Source organism: Homo sapiens, chromosome 14, assembly GCF_000001405.40.
Source record: "Homo sapiens chromosome 14, GRCh38.p14 Primary Assembly".
NCBI classification, from domain to species: domain Eukaryota; kingdom Metazoa; phylum Chordata; class Mammalia; order Primates; family Hominidae; genus Homo; species Homo sapiens.
This window is the reverse complement of record NC_000014.9, coordinates 101,521,384-101,548,244: the sequence shown is the minus strand read 5'-3', so window position 1 is coordinate 101,548,244 and position 26,861 is coordinate 101,521,384. Positions and strand designations below refer to the sequence as shown.

Sequence of the window (26,861 nt, the reverse complement as noted above, 5' to 3'; positions counted from 1 at the left end):
CAGGGTGTGCTCTGAGCTCTTGAAGTGCCCCCACTGCTCCTTGTCCTGGGTGAATAAGGGTCTCCGAGACCTGGCCCCTACAGGCAGCATCCCCACCCCCCACCCGGCCGGTGCTGGCCTTGGAGGGATTCCGGGGGCACCTCTGTCCTCAAGAAGGGCTCTTTGGAGAGGAAAAAAGAACACATTTCAACACCTCCAGATTCTGAAAATGGATTTCTCCCAGGGAAACAGAGACTCAGAGCATGTTCTTTTCCCTGAGAGGGAGCCAGGAAAACAGCGATGGTGGGGGGGGGGAGGAGGGGTAGGAGGGGAGAGAAAGGCCTCAGCAAGAATCACCGAGAATCAGGACACGGAGTCAGAAGGACCTGGACTCAAGTCCTGCCGGCCACCGATGGGCCGCGGACCCACGCGTGCGACTTCACCTCTTGGAGCCTCAGTTTGTTTTTCTGTCCAATGGGGTAACTCCATCTCTGTCCCTGTCTTGTAAGGGATGGCTGTGGATGGGATGTGGATAGAGCAGTTCTTGTTCCAGAGACCAGGACGATAATGTCAGAGTGTTTCTGAATGACACCCCCGGCCCCAGGAAGGGTCAAATAGTGCTGGGTACACTGGTTCTGACTGCCGGACCCAAATCCTTGCTGTGTGGCCTCAGTGAAGTGGCCGACCCTCTCTGGGCTCCAGCTTCTTCTTCCATTAATTGGGCAAGGATCTGCACCTTGTGACGTCACTGGGAAGATTCACTGGGATGGGGATGTGGTGCCAGGTGCAGCCTGTGCTCCGTGAGGTGCTCACATTGGCTGGGGTAGGGGTATCTCGAGGCAGCGGTGGGGCCTGTCTGTCCCTGGGCATGGCCTGGCTTTGGCTGGTCCCTCCTTCTGTGGCTGGTCCCCTCCAGGGCAAACCCTCCCCGCAGCCCCACTCCCTGGGCTCTAAACAGCTCTTGCTTTGGCTGGGACAGCTTCGGGCTGCCTCCTCCAGGAAGTCTTCCCTGACTGCCTGCTTGGGATGGAAGGGCTCCTTGGCTCTGGCCTGATCCCCTCCATGCTGTCTCCCTGGGAACTTTGCAGCTGCCTCCTCTTGGGTTTCTACATCTCTGATCTCATCTCCTCCTCTCTGTCTTCTAGATGTCTTCATGTTTTAGAGTCGCTCTCTGCTTGCGGGGCTGCCCTACCATGGAACGGACTGCAGCTTTTGAAAAACATCCAGACTGCTTGGCCTGGCCTTCAGGGCTTCCAGATGGGGTCTCTGCTTCCCTTTTCAGCTCCAGCCCCTGTCCCTGCTTGACACTGAACTGACACCCCCGCCGCCCAGGGAAATGTTGCCACAGCTGCCCTGCCACATGCCTGCCCCCCCCAGCAGGCCTGCAAGGGGACGTACTGAGGACCCCCAGCCGTTTAGTGAGGAAGCCACCTGAGGCTCAGGAAACCCGTGCACGGCTGTGTGGGCTGTGCATCAGCACTCGAACTCGGGTCTCCTGGCTCAAAGTTCAGGCTCTCTCACTGAGCTAGAATTTCCCACCCATACAAGTTGGCTACTTGCACCTTCTCTTGGAGCTCCCTTTCATCTCAACTTCCCAAGCCCTACCTGTCCTTCGAGGCTTAGCCGAAATGTCGGACCTCCCAGGAAGCCTCCTCCGATTCCTCATCCAATCACCTCTCTCCCCGCCAGATGGCAGTTACCTTTTCCCCATGACCTTGGCTCACCATGGTCCTGGCAAAGGGGTGAAGACTGTGTCCCAGTGGCAGAGATTGCTGGCTGCCCCCAGTATCCGTTTTCCTCTTCTTTCTAAAGTAAAAGAAATCCCAGCTTTGAGCTGGACACGTGGCTGCTCATGTAAAGATTCAAGTTCTTAGCCTCCCTTGCAGCTACACGTAGTTATCTGACCAAATCCTTGCCAATGACGCAGAAGAAGTGACCTGTGAAACTTCGGGTTCCTGACCTTAGGGGGAAGAGAGGTGCCTTCCCCCGCTTCTTCTCCCTGTTCCCACAGTTGGATTAATGAGGTGATGGCAGGAGTGGGGCAGCCGTGGGATTATGGAAGGGAAGCTGGGTGTTGAGGATCACAGAGCAACAAGCTGCAAAAAGCCTGTGTGCCCGTGTCACCACCACGCTAGCTTTAGACTGCTGAAGCTCAGCCTGCTATGCGGGGGGCGGGCGGGGTGGGGGTGGGGGGGCGCTGTCCTGTTTAATCCTGTTATTTTGGCATTTCTTACAGTAGCCAAAATGTATCCTAGTTAAAATAGATCCAGATAGAGAAGTTGATCAGCTGTTTGCAGAATGATCAAGTGGTTACTAACCAGAGGTTGGCGAGCCGCGGCGTGGAGACTGCTTTTTAGGGCCTGTGGTGCTCTGGAGTCACAGAGGGATGTGTCTGTGTGTTTGAGTGCTGGGCGTGCCACGTAACTGTGGGATGCTGGGGAAGTCAGTAATGGCTCAGTGGCCCTGATGCCTCTTCTGTGACATGGGGGTGACAGTCCTCCTTGCAGAATGAGGCTCGGATGACATCACACACATAAGGGCATGGCGACAGAGGCACTCTTGCACGTTGGTTCCTCTCCAGATTGAATTCTCCGGGTGAAATGGCTTTACTGGGAGCACCCCTCTTCCTCCACCCTCCTCTTCCTTGCAATCCCCAGCTTTCCCCGGAGTGGGGTGGGGTGGAGGGGGTGGACTTAATGAAACCAAATGGAAACATTCCATTTGTAACAACAAATATTTTCCACCAGGACTTTTCTTACACTTAAATGAACGACCTTGGAATCCCTGGAAATGGCTGTAGAGGAGGAGGCGGGGTTTCCCTTCTAGGAGTTTTGAATTTTGCAGAAAGATGGGCCCCTAGAGGCTGCCCATGTGCTCCCTTAGCCCCGGCTGCCCCTTCAGGTGAGTCCCACCTACTGCCCCATCTGCCTCATCTCCCCTGTACCCATACCTCTTGGCTCTGTGGGCCAGACCTCATCCCTCGGAAACCTCCAGGGGAGAACAAAGGGCTCCTCCAACTCTGGCCAGGAAAGTCAGGAAAGGATGCATCTGTCTACCTTTGGAGCCCTCGATTCAAAGACCCACCTGCCTGGAAGGGGCTGGAGAGGTGTGGAGATGGGAGTTCCAAGTGCCAAGGGTCACCCGGTGCGGAGGTAAGAGTGAGGGGCTGAGAAGGTGGGCTCTGAGGTCCCATCCTGATATGGTTTGGATGTGTGTTCCCTCCAAATCTCATGCTGAAATGTGATTCCCCAGTGTTGGAGGCGGGGCCTGGTGGGAGGTGTTTGGGTCATGGGGGTGGATCCCGCACGAAAGGCTTGGCGTCCTCTCCACGGTCATAAGTGAGTTCCCACCCTATCAGTTCGTGGCAGACCTAGTTGTTTAAAAGAGCCGGGCGTCCCCTCCTCCTCTCTTGCTCCCTCTCTCACCGTGTGGTGTGCCTGCTCCCCACTCTGCCTTCCACCACGAGTAAAAACCTCCTGAGGCCTCCCCAGAAGCCAAGCAGATGCTGGGGCCAGGCTTGTACAGCCTGCAGAACCATGAGCCAAATAAACCTCTTTTCTTGATAAATTACCCAGCCTCAGTATTTCTTCATAGCAACACAAAACGAACTAACACACCCCCACTCCAAATTGGGCAGCCCTGCTTTCTCCTGCTTTGGGAATGGGGTTCCCTTCAGCTTCGGTGTAATACAGTGATCAACTGATAGTTCCTTGACTGTACAAAATTAGTTTGAGTGGACAGTGCAGTTCAAAGCCACTACCTTTTTAAAATTTTTAATTGTGGTAAAATACATGTAACATAAAATTTACCGTCTTATCCATTTTTTAAGATAAAAACAATGAGCACTATGTTGCCCAGGCTGGGCTTGAACTCCTGGGCTCAAAGATCCTTCTGCCTCAGCCTCCTGAGTAGCTGGGGTGACCAGATTATGCATTGAGCCTGGCTACTGTCTTAGCCATTTTTAAGTAGCAGCTCAGTAGTGCTAAGGGTATTCACATTATTGGATAACCAATCTCCAGAACTCTTTCCATTGTACAAAACTGAAGGACTGAAACATTGAACACCAGCTCTCCCTTCTGCCCTTCCCCCAGCCCCCGGCGAGCACCGTTCCGTTTCCTGTCTCTATGAGTCTGACTACGTCAGGTGCTTCTCATCAGTGGGATCTTGCAGGATTGGTCCTTTAGTAACTCGCCTGTTTCACTTCGCTTGATGTCCTCAAGGTTCAACCGTGTTGCAGCATGTCTCAGAATGTCCTTCCTTTTCAGGCCTGAATAATATTCCATTTTATGGATTTACCACATTTTGTTGATCTGTTCACCTGTTGGGGACACTCGGGTCGCTTCCACCTTTTGGCTGTTGTGAACGATGCTGCCGAGAACATGAGTGCGCAAGTATTTCTTCCAGAGCCTGCTTTCGATTCCTTTGGGCATGTACCTAGAGATGGAATCGCGGGGTCATAGGCTCATTCTATTTTTACTTTTTTGAGGAGCTGCCACACTGTTTCCTGTAATGGCCACATCATTTCACATCCCCACTAACTTAGTGCACAAGAGTTCCAGTCTCTCATCTTCACCATCATTCTTTTCTCCTCTTTCTTTTTCTGGGAGGATATGAGGTGGTCCTTTCACAGCTGGTAAATTGAGGCCCAGAGAGGGTAGGGACTTTTCTGGAGGCCTCTGTGGGTCTGTGGTGCGTGTGCTCAGGGAATCCACACTCCCAGCCTCTTTTGTTCCCGACTTAGGGCCTTGTCTTCCTGCAGGGAGTTTCATGCCCCTCCTGAGACCTCAGCCTCTGAGCTGACCTGCAGCTGCAGGTGACGATTCCTGGCAAGGTGTCCTTGGTTCACTCCAGCACCTGCCTCTGGACGCATCCCTGCCCAGCCTGCTCAGGAACATGCCAGGCAGTCTGTGTCAGCAGGTGACACCCTCAGCCACCAGGGGCCCGAGTGGGCCCATGTGAGGGTCCTCAGTGGCTGAGCCCCACTTGCCTAGTGCACCTCTCTTGGTTTTCCGCCCCCACCCCCATCTCCTCCTCGTCTTCACTTTCTCATGTGAGCTTCCTGGGTTCACTACCTGCACCCACATCCTCGTCTCAGGTTTTGCTCTGGGGGAGTCCAAACTGCAACAGGCCCCACTCTGACCCAGGAGCCACCCTTCAGGAACCCATAGCTGGGTGAGGGCACACAGGGGTGCCAGTGCGAGACTTACTCTGACGAGGTGACCGAGCCTTGGGAGGTGGACCAGAGAGGGCAGGGGCACCTGTTAACTCTGCATTCCTGAAGTTCTAGCCCTTCCCTTGGCCCTTAGATCAGGGCAGGGCCATCAGTTAAGGGGCCTCACCCCATCTTGACCCGGGTGGGCACGTGGCCCATGATGAGGCAGAACTTGAGTCTTGGGTGGTGATCCAGGGCCTGGGGATGGTTACTGCCAAGCCCTCAGCGGATGGGGGCCCTTCCTGAGGAGGAGACATTGGGATGGGTGTGTGGGGGAGGAGCTGCTGGCCAGGCCCTGGGAAGGGTTGTATCAGGCCAAGGAGACCGCCTGAGCGAAGGCCAAAGGTGCGGTGAGCCCAGGAAGTAGGGGAGCGGGAGCGGGAACGGGGACGAGGGAGCTCACTGCAAGGGGGAGGGGAGGGGCTCGCCCAAGGCTGGGACATCAGCAGGGCTGAATCAGAAAGGCCCTGGGGACCCGTCAAGGAGTTGCCTATGGTTGCTGTAATAGCAAATTGCCTCAAACAAATGGGCTTAAGACAACACCAATTTATGACCTTACAGTTCTGCAGGTCTGAAGTCCACAGTGGATTGGCAAGGCAGTGTTCCTTCTGGAAGCTCCAGAGGAGATCAATTCCCTTGCTTTTCCAGCTTCTAGAAGCCACCTGTGTTCTTTGACCCATGGCCCCCTTTCAATGTCAAGGCCAGCGACGCCCTGGAGTCTGACGCCACTCCTGCTGTCTTGCCTCCCTTTCCACACTGAATAGAGCCTTGTGATGACACTGGGCCCACCCAGATAACCCAGGATCGTCTCTCATCTCAAGATCCCTACTTTACTCACCTCTGCAAAATCCCTTTGGCCATGGAAGGTAACGCACACACAAGTCTAGCCACAGGGTCTGGCCTTATCTGAGGGTGATGGGGAGCCATGGGAGGCATTAGGAAGAGGAAGGCCATGGCCAGATGTGGATGTGGTCAGTACTCCCTGGCCAGGCTGCCTCAGCCTGGAGGCTGAGCGGGTGGAGGGGCTAGGACATGGCTGTTGCTAATGCCCTTCCACGGGGCAGGGAGAGGCTCCTCTCCTTCAGGGCTGGAACCAGCCTCTTACCTAAAAAGGGCTGGGTGAATGAATGCTCAGAGGGTGAATGAAAGCACTAGCTGCAGCTGGGAGGAGGGGGCTGGCCTGGGGAGGGGCTGGGGGCCAGGATGGGCAGGGGAGGGAAGGGACTCAGAAGCCAGGAGTCAGGGGCCACCTACAGGTACTGCTGGCTGAGACCCAGAACCACTCCATCATGGAGCAGAGGAGTTGAAAGATGCCTGCCAGGCTCACCAAGGTCTGCCTCTGCCACTGCGGATGTGTCACTCCGGGTGTCATTTTAGAAATCAAAGTCAATCAGCTCTGGCCCAGCTCAGGCACTGAGAAGCTCCACTCACTGCGCCCTCCACGCCCTCACCTGCCTGGTACCTACCCTGACCACCCAGGAGATGTGGGCTCTTCGGAGAGCTAGGGGAGGCCTCTGAGTAGATGAGGATGGGCACCTGACTTGAGGGCTGGACTCTGCCCAATAGACCAACCAACCAAGCTAAGCCAATCAGATGGCTCTGTGTGATTGGGAGCAGGGATAAGCATGTCAGGAGCTGGAAGGGAACTTGCGGAGGGGAGTGCAGGGCCTAGCTGAGAGCAGTGTGTCGAGGAGTGCAGGTGCGGCTCTGCCAGCCTTGTGCCCACCCTCAGTGTTTGGGGAGCCTGCACCCGCTGCCTCACCAGCCAGCTGTGCAGACCAGCTGCACTCCCAGGAATTCCCTGCCGTGGAGCCGCCGTCTGCAGGGTCCTTTCACCTCCCTCCCCAACTTCTCCAGGCACCTACTGTGCGGCATGATTTGAAGCGTGAGGCTCTGTCCTCGATTCTGTGAGTTCCTGGGAGCAGGGCCTGGCCTCGGGCAGCCCTGAGGACCTATTGAGGGTCTGGGGTCTGGAGCCTGGAGTGTGGGCCAGGAGCAGGGTGGGGTCAGCCAGCTCACTGGGAGGGCCCCAGAGGCCCTGCTCCGGGCTCTGGACTTGAATCTATGGATTATGGGGGCCTGATAGCACCCCCAGCCCAAGATGACAATTTTTTCTTGAGCAATAGAAGACAATATGGCCAAGCTGGGCCCGGGGCAGGGCAGCGGGTCCCCTGAGGGCAACTGGGGCCCAGGATCGCCAGCTGAGAGGATGGCCTCTCTGCTCATTCTCAGGTGTAGTTTGCCCTGAGCTGAACCAGCCTGTGGCCCCAGAGGCCCTGGCGGCTGAGGAGGGACAGACAGGGAGATCTCATGGGAGCCCCAGAGTGGGGAGGTAATAGTGGCAGCATCTTTGCCCCAACCCCATCCTGGGGCCGCTTCCCCGCACTTGCTTCCTCCCTGGTCCTACTCAGTGCTGTGAGCTGCAACTCTCGGCCTCAGCTCCCAGCCCTGCCCCCGGCAGCCTCTGCTCCCACACTTCCGAGGGAAGAGAGCCCACGATCCCTGGCTACCCAGGCTCTCCTGGCTCTCTTTGGTGCCCTCCAAACATGGCTGACCCTCTGCCCACTGGGTATTTGGAGGCAGAGCTCGCAGGTCCCCAGACTCCCTGTTTCATTTATTCAGCGAGATCCATTGAGACCTTTTCTGCCAGGTGGGCGCTGAGTGCTGGGAGGCTGATAACAGCACTCAGCTGTTGGTGAGTGCTGGGAGGCTTCACCCTTGGGGGGCTTCCAGCCTCTGCAGACACAGACAGTTTCACAGAATGAATAGACGCTTCAAGGGCCACCACAGGGAGGGGGCAGGCAGGCCAGGCTGGTGGGCTCTGGACCACCTGGCCCTGTCCTGTTCAGCCCTCTTGTCCTGTTCCGAGGTGCTCCACCAGCAGCACTCCAGGGCCGCATCTTCAGCAAATGCAGAGCCGCAAGGCTCCAAGAGGGCTCAGTTCTTTGTTCTCTCTGCTTTGAACGTCTTTCCTCAGGCTGCTGCGTGGTCTCTGGCGTGAGTCAGGCAACCAGGTTGGCTACCACGACAAGATGCAAAATAACAGTGACGTAGACATGGGGAGATTTTAGTCGTTGCTCAACAAATACAGGTCAGCGGAGTCTCACAACTTGATTTATGTTGTATTCTTGTATCGTCAACTTGAATATTTGCTTAATTTTTAAAAAAATCAACTTGCTTTTTAAACTTAAATACTGATGACCTACGTGATAGGTTCTGAAGCCCTGGGTTTGATATGTTAGTTATGTATGTATTTTTCTCAACCCATATAGATAAATAACTATTGAAATAGAAAACAACTTTTTCTGGATACCCTTCAAAATTGTCTTGTTACTTCCTTTTGGGAAATTCTGGACTATCCGGGTGGGGAAACGGAGGCTCCACGAGGGCGTGTGCTGTACCTAAGCATCTGGGAGTTTCTGGTCCGGTTGCCCAGTCCCATTTGGGACGTGGAGCTCAGGGTGCAGCCTGCCCTCAGGGGGAAGGGCTTACACAGGGGGAGGCCCCAGAACAGAGGCCATCCTTGAGAGCTGCTCTCCCCCATCCCCGCAGGGTAAATGGATCCTGGCTCCTGCCCTTTGAGGCTGGCCTGTGGCTGGGAGAGGTAGAAGCCGAGGGTGGGAACAGGCTCTGTCTATTCCATTGCAGGAAGGTTCCAGTGCGTCAGAGTCTCAGCCACCCTCCCCCAAGGAGGTGCCCACCCCCGGAGCTGGCTGCCTCCTCCCTGCCCTCCCCTGCCCACCTTGCACACTCCCAGGGTGTCCTGGCTGCAGAATGCCTGGGGATGCACTTGGTTGGGGGATCAGGAAGCCTCCTGTGGCATCTTCCCAGCTCTCTCCCGGATCCCCAGTACTCCTTTTTAAGCCACTGAGGGAGGGATATGAGGACCATTTGTTCTTTACGTGTTTTGCAATTTTCTTGGAAATGTGAGGGATCCCAGAGGGGCCCGGGGCTGCCGGTTGAGCTGACCTCTGCACACTGTTGAGGCGACCTGGGCTGGGGAGGCAGCAGTTCCAGCTTTCCAGGAACAGTTACTCTTTCCAGGAAGTGGTGGTCTGTGGCCAGGCCAGGCCCCCAGAGTTGCATGGGGAGTGGTGGAGGCAGCCCAGGCTATGGCATTGTTGGCAGGAGGGGAGTGGAGCAGTAGGGTAAAGAAGAAGGTGCACAGCCCCCCTCCAGTTCTCTGGTCCCCAGATGAACCCCTATGGAGTTCTCAGACCAGCTGGGCTTCCCTGGGGGATCCTGAAGGATCCTGAAGCCCTCGGCCCTCCCTTTCACCCAGGCTGCTCTGTTCTCCTGGTTATTGAGGGGCAGCCACATGGCACAGAGCTAGGGTGCTGCTAGAAAGACAGCGGCTGGGGTGACCGCGCCAGCACTGGCATAGACCTGACCTGCTGTGTGACCTGGAGGGAGGCTGTGCACCTATCTGAGCCTCTGCTTCCCTGACTTTAAGAGGGGAATGGGAGTGTTCATCCCGTGCCACCACCCGGCCAAGGGTTCCACACTGCCTAAGTGGGCCACCGTGGGCAGCCTTTTACCACTCTGGGCGTCGGTTTCCTCTTCTGTAGGATGGATTGTTGTGGGGTCAAATAAGATTGTGGATATGAAGCCTTTGTACAGGATCCCACTTGGGGGTTAGCACCCCTCCCCCATGAGTTGAGAAAGAGATGGCTGATCTGGAACCCCTTCCCCAGCCCAGCTGTCACCTGGGAGGGGCCTGGGATGTTGAGGCTTGGGAGTGGGGTCTCGGGGTCCCAAGGAGTGAACCAGGCTATACACCTTGTCCCAGCCCCTCAGGCTAAGGGCTGGCTGTTCTCAGGTGGGTCGATGGCTCTGCTTCCCGGCCTGCATCTGGGGGCCTCCCCTCCTGTCTTCCTCCCCACCTCTTCCAGAGGGAGCTCTCAGGCAGGTTGTAGGAGGACTTACTGAGAAGGGGACACTGCTGCCCCTCCCACCCAGCCTCTACCTCTTCCTCTGTCCTCCTGGAAACTGTCTTCAGGGACGGTTTCCCTCCCCGTTCTCGCAGTGGTCCCAGCCTCTTCCTTGGAGCTACGGGAGGCCCCTTTGCACTTTACCCTCCTTCTTGTGAACCCCGGAGGGTCCCCTCTCTCTCCAGCCTTTCCTGGCCCAGCCACCCTTAGCACAGCCCTCTGCCTGCAGGTGGGTCCCACACCTCAGCCTCACCTGGACACCTCCAAGGGCTGTTCCCTAGGCAGTTCGCTCTCAAAAAGGCCCAACTCACCTCTGCAACCCGCAGCCCTCCCTCTGCCAAATCCCACGCTGCCTGCACAGCTCTGGCGCTCCTCATCTCATGGGCAGCCCCACCACACCCCAGCCCCACTCAGGGACCTTCTAGAGGCCTTCCATCCTGGCCAGTCTCGGCCCAGGCCCCATGCTTCCCCTCCAGAGGGAAAGCACGAGGTGCTCCCTAATCAGTGCCCATGATACAGCCTCTGACAGTTGTCCCTCAACAGCCTCTCTCTCGCCTTCCCTAACAACAAAATTCCTCTCAGAACCTGGCTGCCCTGGCAGATTCCTTTCCCAGCATCCCTTACAGCTAGATGTGGCCATGTGACTCTGTCTGTCCAATGGGGTAGGAGCAGATTACCCACCCAGGAGGAGCCCCGCTCTGGGAAGTCCCCGAAACAGGAACGAGGCCAGGCCCTTGTGACCTGGGGGAGCAGAGGGCACCTTTCAGCTCAAACTTCTCCGTGAGAGGTAAACTTATTTTTTAAACCACTGTCATTCTGGGCCTGCCACATGCAGCCAAACCCACTGCATCCCCTCAGGGCTGTCCTTGTCCCCAGCCCCAGAGTCTCCCACATGTTGCAGCCCATCCTTGTTCCACAAGACAAACCTGGTCCCATTGCTCCTTGGCCCCGCACCCCAGGGTCTCCCAGCACCCTCCACAGAATCCCAGTCATGTTGCTCAGCCCACCTGTGTCTTCGGGGCTGCACCCTGCTTTCCTTGCCTCCTGGCTGGCCCTGGACCAGCAGATCCATTAGCTGGGAATGCCAAGGGCTCAGCCTGGGGACCTTACCTCCAGGAGGTCTCTCCTCACCTTCCTTCCTCCACATACTGTTGGGGCTCCTCAGCCCCTGGTGGGGCCTCGATCACAGCACTTAGTCATTCAGCAGACCTTTGTTGAGCACCTACTGTATGCCAGCCCTTGTGCCTAGTATTGTGGGGTACAGTGGTGAACAAGATGGAGCTTAGCGTTCTAGACAGATCGTTTATTTCTGGGTCTGTTAGTCCATGGGCTGGGAGCTCCTGGAGGGCAGCACTGTCCCTGGTCCACCTCTGTTTCCCCAGCCACCAGGTCCAACTTCTGATCTATCACAACAGGGCTGAGCACCTCCTTGTTGATGAATGAACAGGTAATCAACTCGTGAGTTGGAAGGGAGCTGGCAGTTCTTCAAATCCAACTCCTATCGAGGGCATGCATGCTTACTGCGTTTCTGGTGTATGGGGCAGGACAGGCACACCTCTGGGCATGGGGTGCCCCCTTTCACTGCCTTGGGCAGCTCTGTCCATACTGAACACCGTCCTCGGCAGAGCTGCGCATCCTCCAGCCCCTTTCCCTGCTGGCCTGGCTGACCTGGATGCCCCAGCACTTGCCTGGATCCTGCAACAGGGGAAAGGGCTGCTTCTTCCAGGGCAGGGCTGGGTTCCCACCACCCTGGAAAGGATGGCTGGACCAGAGTTGCTACACAGCAGGTGCTGCAGCAGGCCTGGCCCTGGGGAATGTGGCCAAGAGTGGCTGGTCTCTGGGGGTGGGGGTGGCGTGGGCACAGATGGAGTGGAGGCCAAGTTCTTTTGGTGAGATAGTTTCCTGCTAAGATTCATCAGTTGAGCTGGTTGCTTCAGTTCCCACAGACATGTTGAAGAGAAGATGTGAAAGGCACAGAGGCTGTAGATACAACCCTCCTTCTTTCCTAAGGAGGCCCAGGGCAGGGCACTTAGGCCCTGGGATCCAGGGGAAAGGGAGTCTAGAAGAGGAAAGACTTGCTAGAGGAGGGGCCCCTGAGGGGTGAGTAGGAGTTCACTGCATGGAAAAGCGGAGGCCGGGTGTCCAGGCAGAGGAACAGCGTGTGTGAGGGTACGGCATAGCCAGGCGACCACAGTGTGGTTTGGGGTTGGAGCTGAGAGTGAAAGGTGGGAAGGAAGGAGAGAGAAGCAGCCCCCCACCCAGTCCTGGGGGGCCCTGTACAGGCAAGTGAAGGCCCTGGAGCACCATTCCAGGCAGTGGGCAGGGAGGGAGAGGCCAGATCTAGGGAGTAGAAAGGGCAGCAGCAGGGGGTGGGGCTGAGGAAGACGGGACTCTGAGGACGACACCCGGCTTTCTGGCTTGGGCAGCGGGGGGTCCGTTGTCTGGGGAGGGGCCCTGGAGAAGACCTGTGTGCCACATCTTCTCTTGGGGAGGCATCACCCACGAGGTGGTCTGGGCCCAGCCGTTTCCTCCTGGGCCCCTGTCTGTGTCTTCAGTCCGAGAACTGGGCCAGGGCTGGGCAGATTTAACAGCCATCCGGAGCCTGTGGCATCTGCCTCGCCAACCAAATTCTGACCTTCTGGTGTTTAGGGTTGCAAAGTGTAACTTCCTGTTTTTAAGAGAAAAGGATTAGAAACACTTATAAAAAAGCCTTTTGAAAGGCATCAAAAGACTTCCTGAACGTCAGATGACTCTTACAAAAGAGCCAGTTAATGATTTAAGCAACATGAATGAGAACCATACTGGCCGCACCCACCGTGGTCTCACAGCTCCTTACAGTGCCCAGGAGGGCTTGGTGGCCAAGTGCAGTGGGGATGGAGGGGACCCGGAGAAGCTAAAAAATACTCCTGGGGGCAGTGGACGCCCTGTCTCTGGACACAGGTGTCAGAGGGGATGGTCAGGGGACATGGAGTTTGGCAGTGGCTGGGCAGCCCTAGCCAGGTGAGCCCTAACCTCTTGCCCCATCGGCTCTCGGCTCCAGCATTTCCAACCTCCTCAGGTTCCTCAAAGTTCCATCAACCTCCCCTGATGCCTAGTTCTAGTCCATCTCAGCCACCCACTGCCCCCTCCTCTGTATCTAAGCTGTGGACATCCAAGTGTCCCCTCGGCCTGGTGGACTCGCCACCTTTGTGTGGTCTGCCTTGAAGTTTCCCCTGTCCCCCCACCACAGCCCAGACCCTGCCGACCATGGTGGCTGCCTCCCTGCTGGACTCTGGTGCTGCCTCTGTTCTGTCTGCTCATCCTTGGCCCTCTGCTGCTGCCCGGTGTCCCTGTCCTGGACACAGAGGAGGTGCAGACCTTGTCCCACTCTTAGTAGGACAGGGTCTCCTCCACCCTGTGCTGTGGTCTGGCCTCTGAGAAGGCGTGGGAAAGGCCTGGCGACTCCTCGCTAGGGGCTGGGGCCACCCCAAGAAGCCTGTGGTCCCCAAAGCTGGGCTTAATGGAGATTCAGAGCTGCAGATGCTAGCCCCCTGTTCCCTGGAGCCCTGTCTTCATGGAGAGTGGGAGCTCTGAGGACCCCCCTACTTTCTGCATTGCAGGTATGGCACCTCTGCCTCATCTCCCTACCAACCCAGAGGCCCCTGACTGCTTCCTCTGCCCAAGCTCTCAGGCTTTTCAGAACCACCTAGAGGCCCCGGCCCAGCCTGGGTCCTGCCCACTGAGCCAGCCAGGTGCCCCTTGGCGCCTGCCACCCTGGCCTCATTCCCACACCTGGGCCAGCTGACCTCACATGTCCTTCCAGGACCTCCCCAGTTAGGAATCTTTGCTCCTCAGTTTTGCTCCAAAGAGGGCACGCCGTTACTTAGGCAGCTATTAAACACTTCAGTGGCTCCCAGAAAATGCCAAGGAATTCTTGGAATAAAAATAACAATGAATAAAGTTGCCTGGAAATGAGGCTATGGGGCTGAATTTGATTACGCCCCATTTAGAAGAGAAAATTAGCTTATTACAGCTGAGGTGAGGCGAGGATTTCTGTCTTCTTCAGGAAAAAAGACACTTTTCAGCCTCTCCTCCCCCAGGCCCAGTGCCCCCCCCACCCCCAGTCCTGAGTTTTAAGGTGATCTGGGCCTTGGCTAAGGTCACGCCCTCAAGGGCTAGCACTCCTAGGCCGGGGCTGGTGGCTGTCCCGACGCATGGGCCAGTATCTGGTGGCCACACTCGCCGGGTTAGCACATCCCCGTGATGGGTGTCTGTGCAGATGTGGGGTGGAGAGGTGAATGCTGTGGGTTTCCTGGTCACCCCTGCAAAGCAAAACCCACAATTCCCGTGCTATCTGCCTGCACCTGCCCCAGGAACCTGCATGTCACCCCCACTCTCCCTCCCTCACCACACAGACCTGCTCATCCCACCTCCTAGATAGATGTATGTAGAGTCTCTCCACCCTTCTGTCAGGCCCGGGCGTCCTCCCCATCTCTCTTTCAGCCACGACACACAGGATCTCCCTCCTGCCCAGCCTCACCCTGGTGTACCCCCTGCTGGATACTCCTCTATGGCTCCCCATTGTCCTCAGGACCAAGGCAGAACTCCTTATCCTGGCACATGAAGCTGTGTTCGTTTCCCTCAGCTGCTTTGATGGCTGGTTTTTATGTGTCAACTTGACTAGGGCACAGGGTGCCCAGATATTCACACAAACATTATTCCAGGGGTGCTTGTGAGGGTGTTTTTGGATGAGATTCCCATTTGAATCTATGGACTCAGTAGATTGCCCTCCTCATTGTGAGTGGGCCTCCTCCAATCTGCCGAAGATCTAAATAGAACAAAAAGGCCAACCTTCCCTTGAGTAAGAGATAATGCTTCCTGTCTGTCTCTGAGCTGGGATATTGGCTTTTTCTTGCTTTTGGACTTGGCTGTCATGGGCTGGATGGGGCGGCGCCCCTGGGCCTTCTAGGAGCCAGTGTGGGGGTGGGGATTTGAACTGAAACATCAGCCTCTCTGGGTCTCGAGGCTGCTGGCCTTCTGGATGGAAACCACACTATCGGCAATCCTGGGTCCCTGGCTTGCCTGCAGATCTCAGGATTTGCCTGTCTCCATAATCTGGAAAGCCAATTCCTTACAATAAATCTCTTTCTATTTCTTTCAACCTGTCTCCCTAGACAGCCTGATGGTTCTGTTTCTCTAGAGAACCCTGACTATTACAACCACTAACAAATCTTCACAAACTTAGAGGCTTAAAACAACAGAAATGTGTTCTTTTCCAGTTCTGGAGGCCAGAAGTCCAAAGTCAGTTTCACTGGGCTCAAGTCAAGGTGTCTGCAGACTGTGCTCACCCTGGTAGGTTTGGAGGGGAACCCATAAGGATGCCTCCTCCAGCTTTTGGTGGCTGCTGGCCTTCCTTGGCTTGTGGCCACATCCCTCCAGTCTCTGCCTGTCTTCACAGTTCTTTCTCCCTCTGCCTGGCTCTCATAGGGATGCTGGTGACGGTGTTTAGGGCCCCTTTCCGACAAGTCAGGATCACCTCTTACCCTCAAGATCCTGACTTAATCACACCTTCAAAAACATTACCGTATGAGGTCTCAGGGATTCGAAACTGCTTGCTTGGAAGCCACCACTCACCACGATGCCTGTCACCATCCCCACCCCTGTCTTGGCCAGGAGATCCCCCGGCAGGCCAAAGTCCAGCACACAGCAGGTGCTTAATAAATGTTTGTGAAGGAATGAGTGGGCATGTGAAAAGCAGAGGCCTGGGTGGAGACTGCCTCTCCTGAGGAGGTGTCTACACAGCCCTCTCTGGGAAACGAGCATATTTCTGGGCTGGCGGAGTCTCCGGGCTGGTTCTGAGTGAGCCGTTTCCTAAGATCCCAGCAGCCACGTCTCAGCAGCCTGCAGCGTTCCTGGGCACAAGTCACAGATGAGTTTTTCTCCTTCTTCACATTTTCCTTCATTTCCCAAAAGGTTCTGCAGTATTATGTCTTGTTTTAATAATCAGGAGGGATTTAATTATTGCAACTTCCAGATGCCCACAGCCCTGGGGAGGCCAGGCATCCGTGGTACCCAGTGACTGCTGAGTGCCTCCTGAATGCCACCTGAGGCATCCCTGCCTGGGTTTGCTCCCAAGGTAGGGCTCTGATGAGACCTCCCGAACGGTGCTCAGGTCTGGAACAGGTTTTGAAAATGCCGGCGCCTGTCTTGCACTTCTTACTCCTGTAGTAGGCCCATTAGTTGACTCAGTTCTGAGACCCTGACCCAGCCAGGGGGCTCTGTGGGGCCCCCACCCTCTGTGAGGCCTCTGCCCATCACCTGGCTAGATCCTTGGCTCCGTCACCACTCTGCCCCTGGCAGTGTCCTTCTTCGCTCTGCCCTGGCTCTGTCTTACCTCCCTCCCTCTTGGCTTTACTTCCTGCTTTGACCCCAGATCTCCCTAGCCCTCCAACCCGGGGTCCGATGGACCCCTGTGTTCCCTGCAGATGGGATGGGCAATGCTTCCTGGGCTCTCAGCCACCCTCCCCACAACCCCATTTCCAGGGCACATATCAGCTGCAGCAGCAACTGCAGGAACCTGGCTGGTGAAGCGCATGGGCTTTGGAGTCAGACAGCTGTGTTCAAATTCCGGCATCCCCGCTTTCCAGGTCTGTGACCTGGGATGACTCACTGGGACTCAGTGAACCCAGCTGTAAAATGGGGACAGCAATAGGGACTCCCATTTCCACCAGGATTAAGTGGATGATGTATGTGAAGCATAGTATAGCCGGGCATGTAGGCAGGGCCCAGTCAACACCAGCATCATTGGTCATCTCTTAACCTGTCTGCACCTTGTCTGTAAAATGGGGGTAGTAGCACTGCCAGCCTCACAGGATGACTGGGCGACTGGGTGATGGCCAGGATCAAGTAAGCAGATATGTGTAGAGTGCTCGGAACAGGGTCTGGCCCAAGTAAGTGCCACATACATGAGGGTGATGATTGCTGATGTGATGCCATTACAATGGGATCCAGGGCATGGACAGAAAGTGGGGAGGAGGTTTTGAGGATTGGAGGTCCCCTGCTCGTCATGCATGGATACGGTCAGAGGGACCAGGGGCAGGGCGGTGTCACCACCTTCACTGGAAGTGGTTGTGGGATCACTTGCTGTTCCTGGTTTCTGTCTGGTAGGCCAGGAGGGAAGCCGAGGCTGAACCCACAGAACAACCTCTGTACACAGACAGCAAGCCTAGAGGCGATGGGAAAGGACACACAGTTTGGGGTCAGCCGCAATTGAGGGGGCCAGGAAGAAAATGGGCTTTGGCCTTCCTCAGACTTCTGAAGGGGCCCGAGTGCTTGATGTTCATGATGGGTGAGTGGGTGGATGAATGGATGTCTGGACCCATGGATGACTGAATGGGCGAAGGGTCCCAGGATGGGCACATGGGTGGCTGGATAGCTGGCTGGCTGGATCTACTGATGGATGGATGGATGGATGGATGGATAGATGAGTCAACTGTGGGTGGATGGTGGATAATGGATCGGTAGGTGGAGGAATCCAAGGATGACTGGATGAATTGACAGATGGCTGAGTGGACCAGTGGTTGGCTGTATCAATGAATGAACAGAATTATATACAGGAATGGGAGGCTGGATGGACAGAGAGATGGATGGACCCATTTGGATAAATCACAGGATGTTTACCAGCTGGTTGGTGAGACCAATGAATTGATGGACTGAGGTGTGTAGGGACAGATGGGCAGATGGGCAGATGGCAGTATGATGATGGAAGATGGAGAAATGGCTGGGGATGCACCTTAGCTTCTTGCATTGAATAGTTGTTGAGTTGATATTAATCACATAGAATGGAGTGGAAAGGAGTGGAGGGGTGTGGGCAGATAAGGTCCTAGATGACCTTCCCAGGTCCTAGATGACCTCTGGCTCTATCCAGAGGCCCGTGCTTGCTCCAGGACAACTGGGAGCCAGGGCCAGGGGAAGAGCCCACCTCTCGTTCCCTGTAGCCCTAGAACTGGGGCCCCTTTCCTGTTTCCCTGGGGCATTCGGCTTTGCACTTGGTTGGCTGGGTTAGTCCTTCCTGCCTTTCTTAACTCTTTGTTTGCCTTGTTTTTTGTGAGGTAGGTAGGGGTGGGAGCTGCCTTTGGGGTTGGTGAGAGGGGAGGAGCTGCCTCAGAGGGGCAGATGTAAGCATTAGGTGACCTTAGGAGCAGAGGCAGGACCAGTCTGAGGCAGATAGCCCAGCTGTTGCCCCAGGCTGGCCCAGGAGCTTGAATTCCCCAGAAGATCCTGAGCATAGAGGTGTGGGTGGGGTAGGGGTGGTCTGCAGAACTGGTTCTGTTCCCACACGCTCTGTGATTTGGGCTAGTGCTTTCTCTTCCCTCCACCATGGGCTTCTCATGTGGACCATCATGGGCTGGTTGGGTAGCGCCCCTGTGCCTTCTAGGAGCCAGCGTGGGGATGTGAACCTCAGAGATAAACCAGAAGCCTCCCTTGCCCTCCTCCATCATCTCTGTGCTGACCCCTGCCCCATGCCAGCTGGCAGTGATGGGAAGACCCTAGTGAGGACTGCCTGACTGTCCCCGGTGGGCTGCCAGGGGCTCTGGGGCAGATGGGGGAGCCACAGTAAGACTGAGGGGTGGGGGGCGGTGCAGGCAGAGATGAGGCTGCCAGACATGGGCTGGCGTCCAGGCTCTACAGGGAGACCAGGCTCCAGCTAATTACTTCCCACCCACCCGCATCCTCCCTCCTCCCACACGCAGGCTCACGTGTGTGCATGCTGCCGATGCACCCCAGATCACCCCGCGCCCCTGGCCACCCTGGGCCCTCCATGCCCTCTGCAGAGAGCCCTCACAGCAGCTGACCCCACGTGCCCCCACATCTCCCCTCCCGCTGCCCACACTGCCTGGAGACACAATTGCAACCTCCTCCCAAAAGACACCGGGCACCCCTGCGTTCACAATCACCTGCCCAGCCAGCATGCTCTGTCCTCCACACAGACACACCCCCCTCTCTGCCCCCACGAGGCCTGGGCTTGCCCCCTGCCATGCTCCCCACCCCCGGGTCCTGCAGGCAGGGCTTTCCAAAGGCCCTTGGTTGGCCCCCTGCCCCAGTGTTCCTCTCCCTCCCCCACCAACAAGAGCAGAAACAATCTAGTGGGGGACTTGTGTGTGAAGTGGGGTCTCAGAGAGGCATTTCTGGGTTCTGCAGGTCTAGGCCTTGGGGGTGGACACTCGTCTTCTGCCTCTGTGAGCCTCAGTCTCCCCATCTGTGCAGTGGGCTGAGGATGCCCAGGGAGCCTGGATGTGCCCCCCCATCCCCCCTTGCAAGTCAACACCGTCTTCCCGGCCCCTCTGGGGAGGCCCACCCCTCTTCCTCCTTCCCCAGGTCACCTTCCTGTGGCTCCAGCCCCCACACCCCTGCCTTCCTCTCCCCTGGGGCTTCGTGACCACCCTTCTGCCAGCCACAGCCTGCCCCCACCCTGCCTCAGTCTTCCTTCTCACCCTGCATTGGCTGTCCCCCAAGTCTCCACATCCCTGTGGGTGCCTCAGTCACCACTCTGGCCTCTCAGTCCTAGGCCCCGCGGCTCCCACAGCCCTCCCGTGTGCCTCCCCATCCCTCTCATGACACACCACACTCCATCAACACCAGCGTGCTCTGCTTCTGAAAGCCTGGGTCCCCCAACATTCCCCTGGCCATACCCCAACCCCCAACTCAGGACGCCCTGTACCTGGTTCTTGCCACCTCAGCCCCCCGTCCCCCCTTACCTTCTCTGAGTTTCCCTCCCACCCAGCCCTGCCATGTCAAGTCCCTCTGGACGGGTCCCGCTGAGCCAGTCCTCAGCTCTCTCACTGCCACTCCCACCTGGCAGGACCCCACCCTGGGAAAGCCCTGAGCCTCCTGTACACAGAGCTAGGTGGCAGGGCCGGCGGGCGCAAACTCCCCTCTGATGCAGACCATCCCTGCCACACCTGCCGCCAAACCACCACACCCACCTGGGCCCTCCCTGTGGCCTGGTCGCTGGGTTCAGACCCACCCGATCCGTCTCCCTCTCATCACGCTGTCAGTTCCACCAACTCCCACGTCTTCTCTGAATCAACTGTGTCCCTGCTCTCTGCTCCTGAATCCATGCTCTCCAGGCACTTAGAAAACAAAAGCAAAACCTGCCCTCAACTCTCCGCCTCCCCAGCTCCTACTAGCTCCTTCCTCCTCTTTGTGGAAGAATCTACATTCGAGGTCTTCCACTCAGGGTTCCTCCCTGCAGCAGGCTTCTGCCCATGGCTGCTGTGCCCCCTGGGAACCGCTCCAAGAACACGGCCTGCTACCTGTTCCGTGTCCTGAGGGGGTCCCAGTCGCCCCGTGGTGGTGCAGGGCACTCGGGCCCACTGGCTTCCGCTTGGGTTTGCCCAGACACTGAGGGTAGAGAGTGAGTTGGGGTACTGATTCTCCAGCACCCCCACCCCCCGCCCGAGTGTTGTGAGCTGGCTGCTCCCCTGAACAAAGGACCTACCCTCCTGGGGTCCTCTCCACCCAATTCCACCCTTGGGTTCCAGCCTCCAGTAACTGTCCCTCCCCTCATCCTTCTTTACCTAGGTGGGGAGGAGCTGTGCCTGCTGTCACTACCCTGGAAGACAAGCAGGCCCTGCATTGCCCTCACCCTCCTTACACCTTCCTGACCCTCCTCTTTACTAGGCGTTCCTGATGTCACCTGATTTGTGTGGGCCAATGTCTCCTATGGGCCCTGACTGGCATGGCTCCTCTGTCCTGCCACCCAGGGGTCCCTTCTCAGGCCTCTCAGTGGCCTTCAGTATGGTTATCTACACCTCTCCTCCTGAAACCTTCTCTTCTCCGGGTGCCTGGGACCTCACGCTCTGGTTTCCTTTCTCCCTGGCAGGCCCATCCTGAGCCCAGAACTCCAGAGAGCGCGGGGTTCTGTTCGGGGTGTTCATTCCTGACCTGTAGGGGCTGGGCCCAGGGGCCTCTGGGTCTTCGCTGCCTTCACCTTGCCTGGGCCACCTTGCCCACACTTGAACATGGATAGGTGCTGAATGCTGCTGGCTCCAAGGCCTCCCTGCTGAGGCCAGGCTGCCCCGTGTCCCCAGCTGCCCCTTGGGTGCCTGTGCTGAGATATCTGGTGGCGGGGGTTGGGAAGCCCAAACACCCTGCTGACTGGCTTCTCTGGGCCACCCCCATCTCTCGGGTGGAACCACTATCCTCCTGGTTGTGCAAATCAGATCTTTCTCCTCCCGCTATACCTCCCTCTGTCCCCAAGTCCTGTGACTGCCCTCCACTGGCCCCACCTGCCATCTCTGCTCCCATCTCCATAGGCCAGGTTCTTGTCCCTCCCCAGCATGGAGGCAGCTCCTTCCTGCCATCCACCTGCCACCCATGGGGCCTGCCTGGGCTCACTCCCCTCCCTGGCAAGCCCCCTCTTCAGCCCCTTGCCACTCAGCCTCCCCTCTCGGGTGATTTCTGCCCGTGTGTGTTTGAGGCCGTCTTTGACCCTGAGCCCTTAAACACAGGCTCCATCTGCATGGTCACCCTTCCTCTGCTGGTTCGCCGCCTGACACATCACATCTCCGCTGAAGGGCCACCTCCGCGGCAGCTGCCATATTATTATTGTCTCTCAGACGCTGCAAGGCTCACCACGCAGATGGAGTGGTGGGGATGAGGCCGCACGCCCGCACAGAGCACTGGGCGGTCAGTCATGTTAAAGCCACATGGTGGGACCAGGACCCCGGCACGCTGTCCCGGAGCCCTGCCTGCGGCAATGATCAGGAGGAAAGGCATAGGCCCCTTCCCTCCTCCACCTCGTAGAGCTGGAATCCACATCAGGGACTTCTCCCAGGGGAGATAAATGCCTTTCTCGATCCAGCAGTACCAGGAATGCTCACGACCCCTGTGGAGTGAGGAAGACTTGCTGCGGTCAGGGAGAGGAGCTCCTAGGCCTCGCCCACCCTGGGTGCTCTCTGTGGCCTCCCCAGAGCCTTTCAGGGTCCCCTTGGTGACGCCTGTGTGGGCAGTGTGGCTCCAGAAAGTGGCTGCTGAGTGTGTTCGCTCAGCTCCTCCCCGAGGGCGGTGGGCTGTTTTTTCATGCGCAGAGGCAAGCTTTGCTAGGAGGAGCAGGTGATGCTCGGGGACAACGGGGTGGGCGAGGGTTCAGGCCCTCAGCTACCCAGCAGTGCCCACCCTGAGCCGGCAGGCAGCGTCCAGACTGGGCCAGGCCCCGTTGGAGCCAGCCGTGGCCTCAGATAACCCCCTCTCAGCCTCCTGTTCAGAAACACGGCGGTGGGGGGAGCGGGGCTTGTTGGCTCGGCGACGTGGAGTGTTTGTCATGTTCTGCGATGTGGTCGTGGATGCCTGCCATCATTTATCATTATAATTAAGTACAATTTGGCAGGGGGGTGGGTGGGGGAGCTGTCAGACCTGCTCGCTGCGCCTCCCTGCACCGCAACGGCAGCACGAACCCAGTGGCACTGGTGGAAGGGGCCCGGGGGAGACTCCTCTGCCAACCTTTTTGTGCTGGCGAGGTGTGGCTGGAGTGGGGACTCTCCCCTGCCCCCGCCAGCTCCTGCCCACCCTCTTCATGGAGCTGAAGTCACCCTTGCACAAGGAATCAGCCCTGCCACCAGAACCGGCAGCCTGGGGCTGACTCCCACCCACAGGGCACCTTGTTTCCCAGGGGATGGCTTCCTGGTCCCCAGCTCAGCTGGAGGCAGACCCAGAGGAGCCCAGCTTGGTGCCGGATGCTTCTCCTTGAGGGGGAGTGTGGGGTCTGACCGCAGAGAGAAGCTGGGGGCTGGGTACCCGCATCTGCCTCTCTTTCCCGGCTGGGGGCCCTTGGGCATGCTCCCCTCTTGGGGCCTCTGCAAAGTGGTGGTTGAGAAGACCGATGAAAGAAGGTGGGCTCTGACCACACATCAGAGCCTCAGGGAGCCACCCCTTCGCAGTCCCCTTCTTAAACAGTCTCATACTTATGGCCACTTAATTATATGTATAACTGTTTCTTAAATAGTCTCTTCCTCACCAACGTGTAAGTTCCAGAGGTCAAGGATGGTGCCTGCGTGGAATCCCTGTGTGTCCCAGGAACACGCACCTGGTCAATGAATAAATGAATGAGCCATGCATGCTTGCAGGTGAGTCGGCCCCGTCACTCACTGCAGGCTCACTCACCTTCCTCTAGCCTGGGTTTTGGGCTTGGAGAACGGTCGCAGTGTCTTCACAGACTCAAACACTTAGGTCGGTGCAAAATTCATTGCGGTTTTTGCCGTTGAAAGTAATGGCAAAGGCCGGGCGCGGTGGCTCACGCCTGTAATCCCAGCACTTTGGGAGGCCGAGGCGGGTGGATCATGAGGTCAGGAGATCGAGACCATCCTGGCTAACAAGGTGAAACCCCGTCTCTACTAAAAATACAAAAAAAAAATTAGCCGGGCGCGGTGGCGGGCGCCTGTAGTCCCAGCTACTCGGGAGGCTGAGGCAGGAGAATGGCGTGAACCCGGGAAGCGGAGCTTGCAGTGAGCCGAGATTGCGCCACTGCAGTCCGCAGTCCGGCCTGGGCGACAGAGCGAGACTCCGTCTCAAAAAAAAAAAAAAAAAAAAAAAAAAAAAAAAATTAATGGCAAAAACCGCAATGATTTTTGCACCGACCTAAATACAACACTGTGTGTTTGTTGATCAGCTGAAGGAGAGCAGGACTGTTAGAAGAGGCACAACAGGGATCCCTAACTCACACAGGAGAGGAAATCTTAGGGGGATTTCCAGACGAGATGAAATCTGAGTTCATACTTAAGGAGGTGTTAGCATTAAACACACTCAGAAATAAGGAATCATCAGAGACAACAATTTGGCAAGCTTTTCTGAGGGTGCATGCAGGGCCTGGGTCTTGTGGCTGGGTCATGGGGCTCTGGGTCTGATGGGGAGACAGGCATGGATGCAGTGTAGCCTGGGGCTCCTTGCCAGCAGGAGTCAGAAGTCACCATTCACCGAGACTTCCCTTGGGAAGGCCAGAGATGGTAGAGAGGTTTTATCTTTTTTTTTTTTTTTTTTTTTTTTGAGACAGTCTTGCTCTGTTGCCCAGGCTGGCGTGCAGTGGCACGATCTCAGTTCACTGCAACCTCCACCTCCCAGGTTCAAGTGATTCTCCTGTCTCAGCCTCCTGAGTAGCTGGGATTACAGGCATGCACCACCACGCCTGGCTAATTTTTGTATTTTTAGTAGAGATGGGGTTTCACCATGTTGGCCAGCTGAGAGGTTTTATCTTATGTGTCATTTTTGATCCAATGGTTGCCCTGTACACTATGTGGAGAAGGATTCTGTTGTTTAATATGAGCTTAGTGAGAAAGATTGATTGGTGATTGATTGATGATGTCTGCCATGAGTACGGAGGGTACAAGCTAGGGCATGCATGCTGTAGGTTTAGTATTCCGGTTTCAAACTGTAGAGTGCAGAGTCTCAGGAAAAGATATTGGACATGACTGGGCTGAAACATCTTGTATTATGGAAGGGGAAACTGAGGCTCAGGGATGAGTAGGGACATCACAAGTCAACGGTAGAACAGGGCTCTCTTTCTTGCTGGCTGGGAGGCTGCCCCCGTCAGCAGAGGGATCTCAGGTGGGTCTGGAAGAGGTGGTTTTGGGAGTTCCAGCCCCCCCACTTGCAGCTGCATGAATGGGGCAAGTCATGTCAACTCTCCAACCTCATTTGTACAATGGGGTTGATTAGGGCTAAAAGAGACCCTTCGTTCTATAGGTGTTTGTGGAGTGTTTGTTACTGGGCACACTTGTTGCTGGGATACACAGCTGAGCAAAACACAACCGGATCCTCCTGCACATTGCTTACAGGGAGACAAACTTTGCTCATATAATCACTCCTGAACAAGCAGAATCCAGTACACAGGTGGGCCCTGTGGAAGCACCGTCAAGGCCTTGCTGCATGGTAAGCATTAAAATACAGCCGCCACCGTGGCAGGATTCTTACTGTGGGGGTGTGCTGAGCCAGGGGTGAGGGCACTGGATGCAGCCCATCCCCACATTCCTGTGGGCCCCAGGGGGGCTACCTCCTCCTGGGGGAGGTGCCTTTCTCTAAGTATCACAGAGGCATCACAGGGGCTGGTGACTGCCTTAGTCGCTAACTGTGTGGTTGTTGCCTGTGAGATCCTGCCCCTCAGACAAGCTGAGCAAGATGGCCAGGTCAGATGGCTGCAGCGTCTATCTGGGAGAACATGTGGGGACCAGTTCTGTGGCGAGGGCCCTGGGTGGCCTTGGGGAAATGCTTTGTCTCTCTGGGCTTCCGTGTGCCCAAGTACAAGGGCACTGAGGCCTGACATGCACATATCTGGTGGCAGCCCTGTTAGGAGGAAGGCCCTGCCACCCCACACTGCCCCAAAGGAACACTTCCGGGATAGTGCAAGCATTCCTGGGATCTTCCTGGGCCCACGGCGCTGGGACCCTGCCCCAGACTCCACTGCTCACATTGTCACGAGCCGCAGCCCTCTCTGTGTGCCCACAACACCGGTTCTCAACTGGGCACAGCTCCTTCTCCTGGCTTTGCCTGGGCTGTGCTTTACACCTGAAGTGGAACCCCTGCCCTTCCATCCTGCTCTCCTTCGAGGCCTGCAGATGCCATGTCCTCCACACCTGAGGATTCTGGAGGCCGGCAGGGCTTCTGGACAAATCTGAGCACTTGCACTCTGGAGGCCCTGCCACAGTGGCTACTGCCCACCACGGACGATTCTGTAGACCCTGCTTAGAAGAGACTGGCCATCCAGAACAGCTCTGCTCCCACCCGGAGACTCAAGACTCCGCTCAGGAGTTCAGACTGTCTGGCAGCAGCTGTGGACTGCAGGGGTGATGGCCGTGGCTGGCACCTGAGGCTGCAGCTCTCAAGACCTTGGTCCGAAGGATGGGGGCTTCCACTCCCAACTGTGAGCTCACTTGCTGGGAAACTTGCCACACCCAGTGTCTGGACATCAGATGAACTTGCAGCCTCTTCCTTCCTTTCCCTTTCCGGTATTTTATTGGTGGAGGGCCATGGGCATCAGACATGTGGGTTTTGGGGAGGGAGGTAACGGCAGAGTGGGGTTGGTGAGTATCAGCCCCTCCTGCGAGCTGTGGGTGCTGCTGTGTGTTAGACATCCCTGCTAGCTCCCTGTCCCACATGAGCCCCCGGGTCCTCACTGGGCACTGGCCTCATTCTCTTCTGGGATCTCCCAGGCCCTGCACACAGTAAGTGGGCAGCACACAGTCACGATGGCCACTTTTAACCCCACCGCCTTGATCAAGACCTGGAGAGCTGGGGCATCAGAGCGGGGGTCGACAGACTCGGAGGCCAACTGGCCTGGGGTTGAGCTATTGTTGCCGACATGGAACCCGATCCAGTGATTAATGGGTCCAGGAAATGATCCCTAGCTCAGCTGGCCAGTCCGGGCAGCCTGGCAGCACGGGCCCACGCGGTTCAGGGGATGGCCAGGAAGGCCTGCCGTGGGAGGGCTGGCGGGGGTGGCTGGCTGAGCTGTGGCTACAATGCTGGGGCCATGGGGGTCTGGGGGGGTATGGACCAAGGGCCCCTTTCCAGGAATGCAATGCCCGGCTCCCTCCCTTCTCCCGTGTCTCCTAACAGGGCCCCCCGCCCCTCTCAGTTCCTCCAGGCTTCCTGCCCACAGCTCTGGACCGCTGGTGCCAATGTGGAGGCAGACAGCTGGCTCCCTAGCCATCCCTGAAACCTGTCCGAGCCCCTCCCCCACCTCCTGATTCTAGATGTCCTCATCCCCA

The 26,861-nt window shown here is 56.9% G+C and overlaps 2 long non-coding RNA genes across 3 annotated transcripts, besides 4 other annotated features; one reads left to right on the top strand and one right to left on the bottom strand.

The window, feature by feature from the left end:
- Positions 1-280: 280 nt before the first annotated feature.
- On the bottom strand, positions 281-2,383 carry LOC105370674 (uncharacterized). Its single transcript, XR_944224.1, has 3 exons — positions 2,298-2,383; positions 1,585-1,785; positions 281-1,167 (listed from the first exon to the last, which is right to left on the bottom strand). It is a non-coding gene; the product is annotated as an uncharacterized LOC105370674 (long non-coding RNA).
- Positions 2,384-2,578: 195 nt separating this feature from the next.
- Positions 2,579-26,542, top strand: LOC105370673 (uncharacterized). Of its 2 annotated transcripts, XR_944222.2 has the most exons (7): positions 2,579-3,131; positions 4,245-4,362; positions 5,840-6,057; positions 8,169-8,282; positions 23,108-23,228; positions 24,841-25,026; positions 25,436-26,542. It is a non-coding gene; the product is annotated as an uncharacterized LOC105370673 (long non-coding RNA). The 2 variants fall into 2 exon arrangements; XR_007064344.1 differs by having other exon boundaries at positions 4,245-6,057.
- Positions 19,633-20,464: an enhancer, noted in NCBI's record as "H3K4me1 hESC enhancer chr14:101994118-101994949 (GRCh37/hg19 assembly coordinates)". NCBI's record gives its function as "activates a minimal SCP1, AML or CMV promoter by ChIP-STARR-seq in naive H9 embryonic stem cells {active_cell/tissue: H9 hESC(naive)}" and the evidence as "EXISTENCE:reporter gene assay evidence [ECO:0000049][PMID:30033119]".
- Positions 22,131-22,964: an enhancer, noted in NCBI's record as "H3K4me1 hESC enhancer chr14:101991618-101992451 (GRCh37/hg19 assembly coordinates)". NCBI's record gives its function as "activates a minimal SCP1, AML or CMV promoter by ChIP-STARR-seq in primed H9 embryonic stem cells {active_cell/tissue: H9 hESC(primed)}" and the evidence as "EXISTENCE:reporter gene assay evidence [ECO:0000049][PMID:30033119]".
- Positions 24,913-25,443: an enhancer, noted in NCBI's record as "H3K4me1 hESC enhancer chr14:101989139-101989669 (GRCh37/hg19 assembly coordinates)". NCBI's record gives its function as "activates a minimal SCP1, AML or CMV promoter by ChIP-STARR-seq in primed H9 embryonic stem cells {active_cell/tissue: H9 hESC(primed)}" and the evidence as "EXISTENCE:reporter gene assay evidence [ECO:0000049][PMID:30033119]".
- Positions 25,444-25,975: an enhancer, noted in NCBI's record as "H3K4me1 hESC enhancer chr14:101988607-101989138 (GRCh37/hg19 assembly coordinates)". NCBI's record gives its function as "activates a minimal SCP1, AML or CMV promoter by ChIP-STARR-seq in naive and primed H9 embryonic stem cells {active_cell/tissue: H9 hESC(naive and primed)}" and the evidence as "EXISTENCE:reporter gene assay evidence [ECO:0000049][PMID:30033119]".
- Positions 26,543-26,861: the final 319 nt, after the last annotated feature.